At 51.5% G+C, this 18,017-nt stretch overlaps 1 long non-coding RNA gene across 7 annotated transcripts, besides 2 other annotated features; it reads left to right on the top strand.

Moving 5' to 3' along the window:
• On the top strand, positions 2,104-15,085 carry LOC100996660 (uncharacterized). 7 transcript variants are annotated; one of them, NR_187525.1, is made up of 5 exons: positions 2,104-2,992; positions 5,236-5,312; positions 8,658-8,792; positions 9,089-9,207; positions 10,883-11,213. It is a non-coding gene; the product is annotated as an uncharacterized LOC100996660 (long non-coding RNA). The 7 variants fall into 7 exon arrangements; NR_187528.1 differs by lacking the exon at positions 8,658-8,792; NR_187526.1 differs by lacking the exon at positions 9,089-9,207.
• Positions 2,163-2,262: an enhancer, noted in NCBI's record as "active region_12526". NCBI's record gives its function as "activates an Ori minimal core promoter by ATAC-STARR-seq in GM12878 lymphoblastoid cells {active_cell/tissue: GM12878}" and the evidence as "EXISTENCE:reporter gene assay evidence [ECO:0000049][PMID:35858748]".
• Positions 2,373-2,432: an enhancer, noted in NCBI's record as "active region_12525". NCBI's record gives its function as "activates an Ori minimal core promoter by ATAC-STARR-seq in GM12878 lymphoblastoid cells {active_cell/tissue: GM12878}" and the evidence as "EXISTENCE:reporter gene assay evidence [ECO:0000049][PMID:35858748]".
• Positions 15,086-18,017: the final 2,932 nt, after the last annotated feature.

The following is an 18,017-nucleotide window of genomic DNA, read 5'->3' as shown; positions in this document are numbered from 1 at the left end:
TTCAATTTTTGCCTTTTTTTTTAAAATATACAGAGTCTTGCTCTGTTGCCCAGGATAGACTGCAGTGGTATGATCTCAGCTCACTGCAACCTCCACCTCCCGGGTTCAAGCAATTCTGTGCTTCAGCCTCCCGAGTAGCTGGGACTACAGGCTCGCACCACACGCCTGGCTAATTTTTTGTATTTTTAGTACAGATGGGGTTTTGCCATGTTGGCCAGGCTCGTCTCGAACTCCTGGCTTCACGTGATCCGCCTGCCTCGGCCTCCCAAAGTGCTGGGATTACAGGTGTGAGCCACCACGCCCAGTCTAGCAGATTCAATTTTTAACAATCTTCCTTCTCTGTCCCACCTTGGAGCCCTCCTGATTTTGTCTGTTTATCTGGTAGGGCCTGCTGTGCTCCTTGCGGATGTGACCAAAGCTCTGAAGCACAGGGTCCCCGCCTGATCTTCCCTTGCCTCTCAAATGTGGCACCCTCCTTCAGCTTGTATATCTGGGCTTCATGTTCTGAGGCAGGAAACTGGATATTGCTGAGGTACAGCCACTCAGCTGGGACCACAGAAGGCAGAAGAGGAGAGTTAGAAACAGGAGAGGACATAAAGTGGGCACCTTCTCATCAAGGACTGGCGCCTAGCCTGGGAGGCCTCCTTCCTGCTGAATATAATCACAATAACACAATAATAACAGTAGCTCCCAATTCTTGCCCATTTACTATATGTCTCTGCCAGGCATGCTGCAAGTGAGTTATATCCATCATTTCATTTAATCCTTTCAGCAATCTGTGAGGTATGTGCTGTGATGATGTTCATTTATACACATGGTGCTGGTAGAAGTTAAATTACCCAGACCACACTGCCAGAAACAGCTAGGATTCCGGCACAGGCCTTCTGACTTCAGATGCCTCTCAGATGCTTTCCTGGCCTTGCAGGGGTTTTTCTCTGTGGTGCTTCAATGCCCCATGGAGCACGACCTCTCTGATGACCTCAAGACAAAACTCTGCAAAAGAACCCCAGCAGGGTATCAGGCTGGAGGAGTGTGTGTCGGGGGGGGGGGGGGGGCGGGTGTGCATGTGTAGAGGGTGATTAGGTGCATTCTGGATAAATCAGAGTGCCAAGAGGGACTCCCCCAAACTTCCAAGGTCCTTTCAGGGTTGGACAGCCAGGAGAAGGTGGCTTCCTCAAGAAAAGAGGTACTGCTGGAGCCTGTCCGCCCTGGCTCCTTTCAGATCTGTGGGTAAAAGGCAGCCAGTGGCTGAGCTGGGAGTTCAAGAGGAGCACAGGAGCATGCAGGCCTACAAGTCTGTCTCCTTCCTGTCTGCTGATGAGAGCAGCTTGATGAGAGTACAGCTCCTCCCTGGGGATCTCAGAGTCTGATGGAAGTGACATAGTTTATAACTAGGGGCACAAGGACCATGCCTGTTTCTCATAGGGGACCCAGCACCAGGGCAGTGCCAGATACACAACGGGAGCACAATACATATTTGTGGATGGACAATGCTCATTTTTATTTTTCTTATGCCTCAGTTTCCCCGGCGATGGTGTCCTGGACTGAAGAGACTGACTGGAGTGCATGTTACTGCCGACAAAGTTTCAGAACACCGGCCAGCGCAAGACCACCGACATCAGACTGAGATACAACGGCAGCGATCCTGGATTTGCAGGGCCAGGATAAACAAGGGACTGTAGAGACCATTTTGTCCCATTCATTAATTTTTAGGCAGAACACAGATCTAGAGAGAATAGATGACTTGCCCCAAGCTACCCCGCGAAGGAGGAGGAGGGCCACGGATAAATAGTGTGCTTCGAGAATCTTAACTCTTCGGGGTCAACCTCTCCTTCTACGCCAAGGAAACAGGATCTTCCTGCAACCCCCCGAGACAACCACCGAACAGTCACCCAACTTAGCACTAGGGCCCAGACGTTCCGTCGATCGAATGTACCACGCTCGATTTCTAGGTCTTTAGCACAACGCAGGATAAGTCGATTGGTCGTCCCTGCCGGTCGCTGCTGAGCGCTGATTGGCTCCGGCTTGGGAAGCGGCAGAAAAGGCCGGCGTGTGGGGCGGGCCTGGGGAAGGGACTCCCGCGGCCCTAAGGTGCTGGCGGGCGTTTGGCGTTGCAGCTGTGTGGGCGCTGGTGCGTGCGAGTAGCGCTCGAAGAAACCCAAAGGCGTCGTGGGGCTGCCGTGTGCCCCAGAGAGCACTGCAGGCCGGGTAGGGGCTAAGGCTCCCCGCAGTCTTCTGTGTGTCGTCCAGTACGCAGTTGAAATCGTTCTCCAACCTGGCCAGTCCTCCGAGGCCCTTCTCAGGCGACCAGACTCTGTTAACAGAGTCCATTGCTAAAACTCCTCGTTAGTATTTACCACTCCTCCAGTCTGTGTTTTGAAGCAGTGGTTTTCAACCACTGCCCGTTTTCAGAAGAAATCATCTCAAGCGTCCGTGTGCTGCTAGAAGCCGGGCCGGGAGGTCTTGGTGCCGGACTCCACCCTGCAGCCCTTCCCTTTCGCCACCGCCCTGTGCTTAGAGAAACCTTAGAGTGGAGCAATGAGTCGCCCTTGACTGAGTAACTCTTCGGGGTCAACTTCTCCTTCCACGCCAAGGAAAGGATTCCAGGGCGATGTTTCTGGAAATAGAGATCTGACCAAGCCACTGCTCTGGTGAAAATTCAGTGGGTCCCTAGCACCTAGTGCAGCGGCTCCTAGCCTGAGTATTGCCGTCTTTCGGTGGGGAGGGGTTGGGTTTTTTTGTAGCATCTGTTGATCTGATCTCCAACATCCTCCACGTCAATTCCCACTCCACCCACATCCCTTATCCTATACGTAAGCTTTCCAGCCACGGTGCTGGCTTGGGTGGGGGTGCGTGCGGTGCTGACACCAAAATGGAGGTCCCGTGTTTCTGAGAGTCTCTTTCAGAGCAATGCAAACCTGAAACTACTCCTGCCAAGAAACGATTGCAGCTCTTCCCGGAAAAGTTAAAGCCTTTGAGAAACAAAGCTGAGGTGGGTAACTTAATTAAAAAAATACAGAGAGGAGTTTCAAGTAGACTAAGTGGGAAGAAAAGGAAAGAGTCTTGGGTGGGGCAGGGATTCAGGGCACCAGCTTCCTTATCGCTGAGCCTGGGGGGTGGGGGAGGAGGGGGCATGTGTTGTCACGGGAGGCATTGATAGAGCAACCTCCTTCAGGGAAAGAAAAATGGAGATAGGAAGCAGAGTGAGGAAAGGCCACAGTGGAGTCTGAGGGCTTCGGGGTGGACTTCTGGCAGGAGCCTTCTCCAGCCATGGCTTTAGGGCTGATATGGTTAGGTGCTTTGTGTCCCCACCCAAGTCTCATCTTAAATTGTAATCCCCATAATCCCCACGTGTCAAAGGAGAGACCTGGTGGAGGTAATTGAATCGTAGGGGTGGTTTCCACCATGCCGTTCTCATGATAGTGTGTGAGTTCTCAGGAAATCAGATGGTTTTATAAGGGGCTCTTCCCCCATCACTCCACACTTCTTTCTGCTGCTTTGTGAAAGAGGTGCCTTGCTTCCACTTCTGCCGTGATTGTAAGTTTCCTGAGACCTCCCTAGTCATGCAGAATTGTGAGTTAATTAAACCTCTTTCCTTTCTAACTTACCCAGTCTTGGGTAGTTTTTTGGTTTTGTTTTGTTTTGAGATGGAGTCTCACTCTGTCACCTAGGCTGGAGTGCAGTGGCGTGATCTCGGCTCACTGCAACCCCCACCTCCCAGGTTCAAGCGATTGTCCTGACACAGTCTCCTAAGTAGCTGGGATTACAGGCACACACCACCACGCCCAGCTAATTTTTGTATTTTTAGTAGAGACGGAGTTTCACCATGTTGGCCAGGCTGGTCTCCAACTCCTGACCTCAAGTGATCTGCCCACCTCGGCCACCAAAAGTGCTGGGATTACACATGTGAGCCACCGTGCCCGGCCTTTTTGTTTTGTTTTGTTTTTGAGACAGAGTCTCACTCTGTCACCCAGGCTGGAGTGCAGTGGTGTGATCTGGCTTACTGCAACCCGCACCTCCTGGGTTGAAGTGATTTTCCTGCCTCAGGCGCCCACCACCACGCCTGGCCATGGGCAGCTCTTTATAGCAGTATGAAAACAGGGTCCCTCTCGGTTGTCCTGTCTGGACTGTCAGTTCACCTGAGCTAGACTCAGGCAGGGGGCTTCCTTTGGCTTTGCTCACCTTGCTGCTGTGGGTCCACTTCAATAAGATGACAACAAAGCAGAGCTCACCTGAGGACATGCAAGAGCCCTCGTTTATGGAGCTTGCAGACTTCACAAGACTCCTAAGAATTGTTGAACGATCGCTGGTTACGGCTTCTTGAGATGGATTACTTGCTTGCTGAAGCACCTGCTTGCTTGACTGTTGCTGCCTGAATTCCTCTTTTTCCCAGGAGACCAGCTAGGGTGGGGAGAGCCTTGCTGGAGCCCTAAGCAAGGAAGGCTGATTTCCAGGGGTGTAGGCTGGCTGACACGGGTGTCACTTTGTTATAGATTAAGATATACCACATAAGCAATATGGCAAAGTTGGGGGTTTTTTTTTGTTTTGTTTTTGTTTTTGAGATGGAGTTTCGCTCTTGTTGCCCAGGCAGGAGTGCAATGGTGCAATCTGGGCTCACTGCAACCTCTGCCTCCCACGTTCAAGCAGTTCTTCTGCCTCAGCCTCCTGAGTAGCTGGGATTACTGGCATGCGCCACCACGCCCGGCTAATTTTGTATTTTTAGTAGAGACAGAGTTTCTCCATGTTGGTCAGGCTGGACTCGAACTCCCGACCTCAGGTGATCCACCTGCCTCGGCCTCTCAAAGTGCTGGGATTACAGGCGTGAGCCACCATGCCTGGCATATATGGCAAAGTTTTAACACCATTTTTTACTAAGATAAGTATCATAAAGGACTTTGTAAAGAATATATTACAACCGATCAGGCCAGTGGCTTTTTGTTTGTTTGTTTAGCAGGATTTGATTGAACCTCATCATGCTATAGATCTTCCATTCAGGGATGATGATGTGGGCATAGTTCAGTGGAGGCTGCCTGCAATGAAACTGGGCAGAGGCAAGAATCGAGAGATCAGCTTTAGCCCAGCTCCCAGGAGCACCAGAGTTAAGAAGGATATCTCCTAGAGGGAAAGCCAGAGACCAGGCAAGGGAACATACATGAACACCCAGCCTGTGCTCTGGTGTGAGGTTGCAACAGGAGTAGGATTGGTTCAATCAGCATATTTTCTTTCATGTACTAGGTTGAAAGTATTAGTCCATTTTATAGATGAAGAAATGGAGGCCCAGAGAGATCACGTGACTTAGCCAAGTCCACCAAGTGAGTAGACGGAGATGACCTGACCTCTGGAGTTCTGTCTCTAACATACCCTAGTTCTTTCTTGATTGTCCATAATATACAAACACAGTGGCCTGAGAATATTTACTCCCCTGGTCACTATTTCTTCAGCTGGAAAGGGAAACAAATTAGTAACATTTGAAAAAACAAAAACCCCAACAACTAAAAAAGTATTACTAAATGCAATGCTGTTTGAGAGAACAAACTGTCAACAAAAATAATACTTAATTCTCTGGAAGTGAAATTAATTAAAAATTCAGAGGAGATACCAGAACACTAGCTGGTAGGATTAAATAAGTGAAGGACCAGCTGGAGCAACATAGCAAGACCTCATCTCCTCAAAAACAAAAAAGAAAAGAAAATTAGGCGTGGTGGCATGTACCTGTAGTCCTACTTACTTGGGAGGCTGAGTGTCAAGGGTTGGGGGGAGAGAGGAGGATTTGGAAGTAATGACTCAGGGGGGTGGGGTTTCTTCTTGGGGTGAAATGTTGGGGATGGAAATGTTCTGAATTTAGCATGCTGGACCACATCAAGTTCAGAAGCTTCTGAACAGCGAAGGAAACAATCAATGAAGAGACCCACAGAATGAGAGAAAATATTTGCAAACCACTCATCTGAAGCTCAGATAACTCCATAGGAAAAAAATCGAATAATCCGATTTAAAAATGGGCAAAATATCTGAATAGACATTTCTCAAAAGAAGACACATATTCTACATTGAAAAAAAAAAATAAGGCCGGGCGCGGTGGCTCATGCCTGTAATCCCAGCACTTTGGGAGACTGAGGAGGGCAGATCACCTGAGGTCGGGAGTTCGAGACCAGCCTGACCAACATGGAGAAACCCCGTCTCTATTAAAAATACAAAATTAGCTGGGTGTGGTGGCACATGCCTGTAATCCCAGCTACTAGGGAGGCCGAGGCAGGAGAATCGCTTGAACCTGGGAGGTGGAGGTTGCAGTGAGCCAAGATTGTGCCATTGCACTCCAGCCTGGGCAACAAGAGCGAAACTTTGTCTCAAAAAAAAAAGAAATAAGACATACAAATGGCAAACAGGGCCAGGCGCAGTGACTCACTCCTAGAATCCTAGCACTTTGGGAGGCCAAGGCAAGTGGATCACCTGAGGTCAGGGGTTTGAGACCATCCTGGCCAACATGGTGAACCCCTGTCTCTACTAAAAATATATATATAAATTAGCCAGTTGTAGTGGTGGGCTCCTGTAACCCCAGCTACTCTGGAGGCTGAGGTAGGAGAATTGCTTGAACCCGGGAGGCAGAGGTTGCAGTGAGCTGAGATTGCACCACTGCATTCCAGCCTGGGCGACAGAGTGAGACCTTGTCTTAAAAAAAAAAAAAATGGCAAACAAACATATAAAAAGGTGCTCAACATCATTAATCATCAGATAAATGCAAATCAAAACTATAATGAGATGTCATCTCACCCCAGTTAAAATGTTTTCTGTCCAAAAGACAGGCAGTAACACATGTTGGTGAGGTTGTGGAGAAAAGGGAACCCTCATATACCATTGATGGAATGTAAATTAATACAATCACTATGGAGAACAGTTTGGAAGTTCCTCAAAGACTAAAAATAGAGTTACCATACGATCAAGCAATCCCACTGCTAGGTATGTACCCAAAAGAAAGGAAATCAGTATATCTAAGAGATATCTGCACTCCTGTGTTTATTGCAGCACTATTCACAATAGCCCAGATTTAGAAGCAACCTAAGTGTCCATCAACAAACGAATGGGTAGAGAAAATGTGGTACATACACACAATGGAGTACTATTTAGCCATAAAAAAGAATGAGATCCTGTCATTTGAAACAACATAGATGGAAATGGAGGTCATTATGTTAAGTGAAATAAGCCAGAAAGACAAACATCGCATGTTCTCACTTACCTGTGAGAGCTAAAAATTAAAACAATTCAACTCATGGGCATAAAGAGTAGAAGGATGATTATCAAAGGCTGGGAAAGGTAGCAGTGGGGCGGGGGTGGGAAGAGGGGATGGTTAGTGGGTACAAAAAAATTAGAACAAATAAGACCTAGTATTTGCTAGTACAACAGAGTGACTGTAGTAAAAAATAATTTAACTTCATTTAAAATTAACTAAAAGAATATAATTGGATCATTTGAAACACAAAGGATAAATGCATGAGGTGATAGATACCCTGTTGACCCTGATGTGATTATTATGCATTGTAAGCCTGTATCAAAACATCTCATATACCCCATAAATAAATACACCTACTATGTACTCACAAACATTAAAAATTAAAATAAATAAATATAACGTGATGGTTGCACGCTTCAGTGAATATAATTTTTTCAATGTTTTTAGCTTTTAGGTTCAGGGGTACATGTGTGTGTTTGTTATATAGATAAATTGTGTGTTATGGGGGTTTAGTGTACAGATTATTTCATCACTCCAGTAAAAAGCATAGTATCTGATAGGTACATTTTTTCTTTTCTTTTTTTTTTTTTTTTTTTTTTTTTCTGTGAGGCAGAGTCTTGTTCTGTTGCCCAGGCTGGAGTGCAGTGGTATAATCATAGCTCACTGCAGCCTCGACCTCCCACCTCAAATAGCTGGGACTACCAGTTGTGCACCATCATGTTCAGCCTTTTTTTTTTGGAGATGGTATCTCACTCTGTAGCTGAGGCTGGAGTACAGTGGCACGATCTTGGCTCACTACAACCTCTGCCTCCTAGGTTCAAGCAATTCTCCTGCCTCAGCCTCCTGAGTTGCTGGGACTAGAGGGGCATGCCGCCACACCTGGCTAATTTTTTGTATTTTAGTAGAGACAGGGTTTCACCGTGTTGTCCAGGCTGGTCTTGAACTCCCAATGCTCAGCTAATTTTTAAAATTTATTATTTTGTAGAGACAGGGTCTCGCTATGTTGCCCAGGTTGGTCTCGAACTCCTGGGCTCAAGCGATTCTCCACCTTGGCCTCCCAAAGTGCTGAGATTACAGGCATGAGCCACCAAATTATACACTTTGAATGGATGAGTTAAATGGTATGTGAATTAGATCTTTATAAATCTGTTCAAAGGATAGCAGTCACTCACTTTAGCCGAGAGAGATTATTTGGTATTTTATGGGTGACAGCATAGTGACCTTGTTTTTGTCAGTGCTTAGACAAAATTATGACATGGCCTTGCCTTGCCTCATTTTATCATGGTCTCAGAGTAACCTTATTGGAGGTTGGAATTCTGTGAGTTTGTTAATGTTCCCCATGAAAGTCAGATGAGTTTGTGACAACATTGAGGTCTAACCATGAATGTCAAATCTGCTCCGGATGTCAGGAAGTGCTTTTTTTCTTTCTCAGCTAATATTGGGAAGCTCAGCAGGGTCCTGGGGGCCCACAGGAATGTGAATAAACACGCTTGGAAAGTCTGCAGAATTTCCAGTCCTAGCCTCCTGCTGGTGTGAACCTGGGCTCCTGTGCCTGGGACCCTGGGAGGTGGGGGGACACCGGGCTGGAGGAAATAATGTGCCATCTGGGATTTTTTGTGCTTTCTTCTGTCTGTTGCTATTTCAAAATATTTAAAGGCAGAAAGTTCACCACCTGCTCTGTCAAGGAGGCCCCGTCATACCCCAGTGACCGCCTCCAGCTCTCACCCCTCTCTGTTGACCCCCTAGGAATCCCTGAACAGCCCAGGGAGGACTTGGACGGTGGGGTGAAGGGAAGGGACAGGACCTGCAGCCTTTTCTGGCCCAGGCAAGAAGGAAACTTCCTGTCTTTCTTCTCCATTGCAGATTTGGGATTAAGCCTTATTTTGCATTGGGTTTAATCTCAACAGACACCGAGGGGCACCTGGAGTCCCTGCAAAACCTTGTCTGGTATCAGCTACCTATCAGAGGATGCAGAGGACAAGGTCAGGTAGAGGCTGTTTCCAGTGAGAGGAAGGCAGGGGGAGGGCATGGAAGGAGCACTGGAAATGGGGTGGGAAAACCAAAGCTCCCTCCATGCAGGGCTACTTAGGTGAGTCCCTTCCCTGTCTGGGCTCCCTTCCTTCCTTCCTTCCTTCCTTCCTTCCTTCCTTCCTTCCTTCCTTCCTTCTTTCCTTCCTTTCCTTCCTTCCTTCTTTCCTTTCTTCCTTGCTTCCTGCTCTCTCTGTTGCCCAGGCTGGAGTGCAGTAGCATGTCCTCGCCTCACTGCAGCCTCGACCTCCTGGACTCAAGCCATCCTCCCACCTCAGCCTCCTGAGTAGCTGGAGCTATAGGCGTGTGCCACTACACACGGCTAACTTTTGTATTTTTTGTAGAGATGGGGTTTCACCATCTTGTCCAAGCTGGTCTTGAACTCCTGGGCTCAAGCGATCTGTCCACCTCAGCCTCCCAAAGTGCTGGGATTACAGACATGAGCCACCGTGCCCAGCCTGTGCCTTAGCATTCTATCCTATGACTCAGAGGTAGCTGAGCTCCATCTTCTAAAATCAAGTGACCATCACTGAGGCTGTCTCCTCCCCTATAAAATCAGGATTGTGTTACTCATTGTAGAAAAACCAGTAACCCCAGCAAGCAAGCTCACCCCCCTGGCTCCACAGACCTCCCCAGTCTCATCTCTCAAGACTCCTGCCCTTCACAAGATGCTCTGGCGCACCCCAGCCCTGTGCTCCCTCTCATTTGGTTTCCTCTGCTTGGATTGCCCTTCTCACCTTCTTTAGTTGGTGTCTGCTCACCTTCTAAGACTCAGCCCAGTCCTTATCTCCTCCAGGAAGCCTTCCCCAATCTCCCTTCCACTGGCTGGGTTAGGTGCTGTCCCTTGGGCTCCTATCAAGTCTGGGCCATTGCTGTCCTAATAATGTGGCTGATAATTTATAGCTAGTCATTAGAGTTGTAATTTATTGAGCCCTTACTCACAGCCTGCCCCTGAACCAGACCCTTTATACAGCGTCACCTCATTGAATCTGACAAAGTATAACTCAGCTCCTAGTTCAAAGTAAACATCTGCCCTGCCATTGATCCCGCTGAGGTAACAGAAATAAAGCCAGCTGTGGAGGTAACACGAAACAGTAGTTCTCCCAAGCATAGGGTACAGCTAGAAAGTGCCACAACGTGCCTGCCTGCAATGTGTGCACGTGCGTGCACACGTGTACGTGGATAAACACGTCTGTGCACGTGTATGTTGCTTCTCTGGCCAGGCCTGGCTGCCCCACTCATGTGCACCCAGTTCCTCATCACTGTCACCCCCGAGGCCCAGGGCCAGCATCAGAGCATCCCTGGCTGCTCCCTAACCTCAGCCCTCCCCGCCCAGGGTGGTCCTGGGATACACATAGGGGTGGAGGGAAGTGACTGCTGCTGCTGCTGGATCTCAGAATACAAATACTAATACTATTACCTAATGGTCTTTTTAGTGTCCCTAATGGTCTTTTTAGTGTCTCTAATTGTATCTCTTTTTCGTTTCTGATATTTTAACTGGGTATTTCTCTCCATGACCCTTGGATATTCTAGCTAGAGGATCCTGTGGGGAAAGTGCCGGGCACACAGTAGGGGCTCACTCTTCTAGACGTGTTATCTAAAACCTGGTTCATCTGTCCTTCCACGCAGGGCCTAGGGGATGCCAAATTCCAGGGTCCAGAAAGAGCTTGGGATAAAATGAACATCCAAGGGGAGGGCTTTGACCTGGGCTGAGTCTGCCTGTGCCGAGTCTGCCTGTGCCATCCAACTGGAGTCTCAAGTCCTGAGGCAGGACGTCCAGATGCCCCAGTGCAGGGTCCTCCTGATCAACACCTGCTCCCCTGTACTCATTAGCAACCTCACCCACCCTACTCTCAAAGCACACTTGGCTCTCATATCCAGGAGCTCTGCATCTGTAGATTCAGCAACAGCAGATGGAAAATATTCAGAAAATAAATTGGACAGTTATATTTCTATTGAACATGTGCAGACTTTGTTCTTGTCATTATTCCCTAAAGAATACAGTATCACGACCATTTATGTAGCATCTGCATTGTATTACACATCCTGAATAATCTAGAGATGGTCTAATGTCTACAGGAGGATGTGCATAGCTGATATGTAAATACTAGGCCATGTTATGTCAGAGACTTGAGGATCCATGGATTTTGTCATCCCCGGGGACCCTAGAACTAATCCATGGATACCAAGGGATGACTGTAGAAACTCACTCAGGAAGGCTTCTCATTGGAGGAAGGGCCCAGTTCAGGACACACAGGGACATCTCCCTGGACTACTGTCCATTCATCCATCCATTCATCCATTGTCTCCCCCCACCCCCCCATCTCGGACTGTCCCAATGACAGCCCTAGCAAGAAGAGACAAGCAACAAGATAAGTTCACGTTGTCCAGTTTTGAGGTATTGGAAGAAGTTGCACCGGTATGAGAATAGTGGGTCAGTTTTCTACAGGATCCAGAAAGCATATCGGGCAGCCTCGGGGTGCGGAAAGGAGCCTGGCCTCTCCAGCAGCCACACAGGCCTGCAGTAGGATGGGGCTGGGGCTGGCCATGTGGATCACTTGGGCCTCATGAGGGGAAAGGAAATACCAGGGGGCAGAAGAGGAGCATGGGGGCAGCTGGTTGCCTAAGGGGAAGGCACCTCAGGGAAGGGGACTGTATTCATTTGTTTTCACACTGATGTAAAGAAATACCTGAGATTGGGTAATTTATAAAGGAAACAGGCTTAATTGACTTGCAGTTCCGGAAACTTACAATCATGGCAGAAGGGGAAGGGGAAGCAGGCACCTTCTTCACAAGACGGCAGGAGGGAGTGAGTGGAGAACCAGTAAGTGCCACACTTTGAAACTATCAGCTCTCCTGAGAACTACCTCACTATCCGGGGAGCAGCACGGGGGAAACTGTCCCCAAATCCAATCTCCTCCCACCAGATTCCTCCCTTGACACAGGAGGATTACAATCCCAGATGAGTTTTGGGTGGGGACACAGAGCCAAACATGTGAGGGTCTCAGTCTATGTTGCAGCTCCCCTGGGGCTGAGGCTGAGTACAGACCTGCCGGCCTTGCCCTATAGCACGCGAGGGCTCTGCCAGTGTGCTCCCATCTCCTGCTTCCTGGGGATGGTGGTGACTTCCTCCAGAGAAGGGTGTATTTGTTCTCCTCCTGCCCCTGCAGGGCATTGTGGAGCCCTGGCCAAGTTCTCCCAGGATAAGGGCAGGAAACAGGGCTCCTTGCCCTTCTTGTTGCTTGAGTGACAACCCTGGGGTCATCCCTAGGCCCCGTCACTGCCCCTGCTTCTAAACTGAGAACATTTTGGCAAATCTTCCTGGTAGAGGCTGGGGGCTCATCCCTGCTATCTGTTCTAGCTTGGTAGAGCCAGGTTAAGACATCTGGGCAAGAAGAGAGTAGAGTGTACCCCAGGAAGCGTGGGTGGAGGGCACTGGCCTTTGGGCTTCTCTGGACCAGGGTGGGAAGGGGGAAGTTTACCAGGAAATAGAGCTCTCAGGACTATGTTTAGGAGGAGGTGGTAATGCTGGTGGGGGGACGTCCATTCATCCATCCATTCATCCATTGTCTCCCCCGACCCCCCATCTCGGACTGTCCCAATGACAGCCCTAGCAAGGAGAAACAAGAAGGAAGACAAGTTCATGTGGTCCAGTTTTGAGGTCTTGGAAGAAGTTGCACCAGTATGAGAATAGTGGGTCAGTTTTCTCCAGGATCCAGAAAGCATATCAGGCAGCCTCAGGGTGAGGAAGGGAGCCCAGCCTCTCCAGCAGCCACACAGGCCTGCAATAGGATGGGGCTGGGGCTGGTTTGGGGTGGAGGATAAGTGACAGCCAAGGTTTGTCAGCATGCAGAGGGGTGGCTGACTCATGGACTAGGGGCTGCGGAGCCCAGTGGTTGCCCTTAGTTCTTGGATCCTAGGAGACTTCTGGAGCCTGGATCTGGACAGCCTAGGGGTGGAGGTGGTGAGGGGCAGGGCTGGGGGCGGGAGGAGAGGCCTCGCATGGCAGGGTGCGGGGCAGGAAGCCAGCCAGGGACTGCTTTGCAGTGTCTGCTCCCATCGCCCTTCCCACCCCCAAACCCACCCCTACCCCTACCCTGGTGCAGGGTCGGTCCGGGGCAGGTGTCTTCTGCTTTGGCCTCAGCAGATCCCAAGATGGAAGCCGGCAGCCACGCGGGCATGTCACTTGCGCCAGCTTTGTCCTGCAGTTTCTGCTTCCTGGAGCGTGGGACGCCCACCCAGGAGAGCACGGGCAGACCCCACACCTCTCATTTTGAGGGTGCTGGGAGGTGGGGGACCAAGGTCCTGCAGCCCTGTGCTTGTGCCGTGAAAATTAGCCTAGGAGTCCCATGTCCACCTGTCCACGTGGAGCCCCAGGAGCGTGAACAGTGGCATGCAGCGAGATGAGGAGGGAGAGAGAACTGGAAAAGAAGGAGAGAGAAAGAGAGATGAGGAGAAGGGAAAGTGAGAGAGGAAGAGAGATTTGGAGAGAGACAGAGGAGGCTGAGAGGATAAGGAGGGTGAGATGGGGAGAGAGATACAAAACACAAAGAGACAGAGAGAGACGTGCAGGAGTAGGAGGTCGAGTTACTCTTGATCCCAGTTCCCAGTGAAAACTGTAGGTCGCCATCACCTAACCACACATGCAATAAAGTCTGCCTGCTGCTTAGAGCCCTGAGAACCCCTTCTCATGGAGCATAAAACCTTTGACTACTGCCCTTCCTCACCGCATTTTTGTTGTCTCTTCTGGTGAACCATGATGTCTTGTCTATTGCCTTCCTGGGCTCAAGGATCCATCAAAAACTGATGCTTCTTTGGGGAGAGTCTGCAGTGCCTTCCACTCACTAGGCTCCCCAGGAAGCTTGCACACTTGGCTTGGGCCCCAAGCAGCTGGGTACATGATGGGACTCTGCTTCTCTCTTTCAGTAAGAAGGAGAACTAAGAAAGAGACTGAAGCATGGTCTGTGGAGAAGGCACTTGTGCAAACACCAGGAGAATGAGGGGCCTGAGTTGTCTTCGTTTCTCCTAAAAGCATGCATTCCCGGCTGGGCGCGGTGACTCATGCGTGTAATCCCGCCACTTTAGAAGGCTGAGGCAGGCGGATCACCTGAGATCGGGAGTTCGAGACCAGCCCGACCAACATGGAGAAACCCCATCTCTATTAAAAATACAAAATTACCCAGGCATGGTGGCACATGCCTGTAATCCCAGCTACTTGGGAGGCGAAGGCAGGAGAATTGCTTGAACCCAGAAGGCGGAAGCTGCAGAGAGCCGAGATTTCGCCATTGTACTCCAGCCTGGGCAACAAGAGTGAAACTCCATCTCAAAAAACAAACAAACAAACACACAAACAAACAAACAAACACATTCCCTCCCAGGCCACCCAAGTGAGGGCATGAAGCACAGCGTGTGTGTGTGTGTGTGTGTGTGTGTGTGCACGCGTGTGTGCATATGTGTGTTTGTGTGTTGCAGGGGTTACAGTGGACAGGATGTGGGAGGGCAGCTGCAGCTCCAAGCTGCAAGTCTTTCTGATAGAATGCTTAAAACTCCTTGGACCACAGCAAGAGAGTGTTTTCATTTGCACCCATTTTTATTAGCGTTTGAACCTGTACTTTTTGTAGCATGTAAACCTTAAGCTGCTTAACTATTCCTTGAAGCATTTACACCAGCGGTTCCCAACCTTTTTGCTACCTGAGACCAGTTTTCTTGAAGACAATTCTTCCACGGACCCGGGAGAAGGGGAAGGGATGATGTGGAGATGATTCAAGCCCATTACATTTATTGTGTGCTTCATTTCTATTATTTCACTGTAATATATAATGAAATAATTACACAACTCACCATAATGTGGAATCAGTGGGAGCCCTGAGCTAGTTTTCCTGCAACTGCATGGTTCCATCTGGGGGTGATGGGAGACAGTCACAGATCATCAGGCATTAGGTTCTCATAAGGAGCACGCAATCTAGATCCCTGGCATGCGCAGTTCACAGTAGGGTTCACGCTCCTATGAGATAATGGCACCGCTCATCTGAGAGGAGGCACAGCTCACGTGGTAATGCAAGGGATGGGAAGTGGCTGTTTCTACAGATGAAGCTTTGCTCACTGGCTGGCTGCTCACCTCCTGCTGTGTAGCCTGGTTCCTAACAGCTGGGGATCCCTCATTTACCCAGCAAGATAAATACATTATTATGTCAATTGAAATTCTTCACCTTGAACCACCCCAAATTACCTTGCATACCTACACCCACCCAAGGGTCCCGGAGCACACTTTGGGGGCTGCAGACAGTAAGCCTGGAGCTCCATGGAGCATTCCATCTCTCCACCATCTGTGGGCTAACAGGCTGTGTTAGTTTCCTAGGGCTGTTTTACAGTACCACAGACTGGGCACCTTCAACAACAGAACGTTACTGTCTCACAGTACTGGAGGCCATGAGTCCAAGATCAAGGTGTCAGCAAGGTGGGTCCCTTCTGAGGCTGTGCAGGAAGGCTCTGTTCCAGGCCTGTCTTCTCATGCGCGGGTGGACGTCTTCTCCCTGTGACTCTCCATTAAGGGTGATTCTGGTGAGGGCTCAGAAGAGGAGACTTGGACAGAATGTTGGTAGGTAAATGTGTCAGTGGAAACCAGAGGGTAGACAGGACTCCATCCATGCCCAGGGCTTTCTGGGGACAGACCTGTCCAAGCAGCAGCGATTCCCAACCGAGTTCTGTTTCTGGAAAGCCAGGCAACAGCTGGGGCTGGGCCCTCTGGGATTTGTTTAGTGACCCGATGATGTGGGAGGCCTGCAGTGGGTGGTTGGGTGGGGGGTGGTACTGCCCAACCTCATTGCATCACTCACTTCCCAGGCCCTGCCCTCAACCCCTCCTGACCAGGCCCTGTCCTGGTTCTCAGCCACCCTGTCCCAGTGGGTGCTTCAGCCCACTCACTGACCAAGTGAGGGACTGACTCCAGGTTACAGAGTGCTGTGTTTATGTGACCTGAGAATATGTGTGCGCAGAGTGTGCCCGCAGTGTCCTTGTACAGTTGAGCATATACATGTCCTGCCCGTGTGTAGGCAGCCTGTCCACACATGCCTAGGAGTGTGACTCCACGTCCTGGTAGATGGGGAAGGAGAGAGGGAGTTGTGCCCAGGGTCCCCTGATTACTTCTATGGGTGCATGTTTGTGCATCTTGTTAGGGGTCCTTGGGGGTATGGAAGATTCTCCCCTGGGTGCCCTTGATCACCTGTGTGTGCGTGTGTCTGTGTGTGTGTGCATTAGGGGGTGTACTGTGTTACAGCATCCTCAACCAACTCTGTATGTGTGCATATGTTTGTGTGTGTGTGTGTCTTACAGGTATGAGCGAGTGGATGCTTCCACTACGTGTCTGCACACGTGTGCGTGCACTTGCATTGTCCTTGCACACCTTCGTGTGTCCCGTGAGAGCGAACGGAGCCCCGCATGTGCTGGCACCTGCAGGAACGTGTGAGTGAGTGTGCGATCCGTGGGTCCCTGTCCTGCTGGCTCCCCGCTTGTCCCGAGGGAGTGCGCGCACGGGGTCCCAGGCCGGCGTGTCCGCCGGTGTGAGTGCGAGTGAGTGTGGCCCCACGCAGCTCTCTCCGCTCCGCGCTGCCTGGGCAGCCCGCACACTCACGCTGCGTGGTTGCTGCCGGGTGACACGGGCTGGGCCGGCCCCCTGCCCGCCCGCCCCTGGCACTCACTCGCGCTGGCCTTCGCGGAGGCCCCGCCGCGCCATGCCGGGCCTGCTGAGCCGCCCCCGGCGGGGGTCGCTCCGGGCCAGGCCGTGCGGGGGCGGCGAGGCGCTGCCTGTATGACCCCCGGCGGCGCGGGGAAAAGGCGACCGTTTGCATCCAGGAGCATGTGGCCATCGACGTGTGCCCCGGCCCCATCCGCCCCATCCAGCAGATCTCTGGCTACTTCCCCCACTTCCCGCGGGACCTGCCCCATGACGCCCCCGCGCGCCCAGCCACTGCCAGCGCCGGCCGCCGCCGCCCCTCTGACGGCGCCCGCGACCACGACAAGGATGGCGACCATCTCTTCGGAAGCCTAACGATCCAGCACAGGTCCCAGCCCTGCGCAGCCGCCCGCCAAGCCGCCAGAGGACCAGCCGAACGCCAAAGGCTAGGAGTGGACGATTGCAGGAAGTTTCCAACTCGCCGACTTCGCCCCACTCCACTGGCTCCGGCTTGGCGGTCCCCGGCTTCGGGGTGCCCTCCGTCCCTCCCCCTCGCGTCGTCGCGTTCTCCCTTGGCATAACCCCCCGCCGCGGGGCCGCAGACCCCCTAAGCGCTTCGTGCGCTCTCCGCGCCCTGCCCACCGGCCCCGACCCCTCCCCCGACCGGACGGGAGAGGTGGGAAGTTTGGGGGCACCCGCTGTGGGTGTCCCATTTGCGGGGCTGGGCTCCGGGGAGCCGGCGCGCGGCGCCCGCTCCCTGCCCGCCAGCCGTTTGGGAGCTCAGGCGCGGGCAGCCGCTTTTGTTCCCGGGAAGGGCGGAGCTGCGTCCCGGGGAGACACGCGTTGCAGCCGGCAGCGTAGTTGCTCCCCGCTGGCCGGCCGCTCCGGGAGGGCCCCGCAGCGGAGGGTCGGGGCTGGGGCGGGCTGGGGAGGGGGCCCAGGGCTGGGGCCGGTTCGGCCTCCCGGGTGGCGCGCGGGCCGAGGAGCTAGGAGGACCGCCGCGCCGCTTGTCCTTTGGAAAAACCTTGGCGGTTCCTCCTCTGGTGTCCGTGGACCCCGCCGCGGCGTTCTCCAGGGCCGCGGACCTTTGCC

Source organism: Homo sapiens, chromosome 17, assembly GCF_000001405.40.
Source record: "Homo sapiens chromosome 17, GRCh38.p14 Primary Assembly".
NCBI lineage: Eukaryota > Metazoa > Chordata > Mammalia > Primates > Hominidae > Homo > Homo sapiens.
The sequence above is the reverse complement of the archived record's forward strand: the minus strand, read 5'-3'. Positions and strand labels throughout refer to the sequence as shown.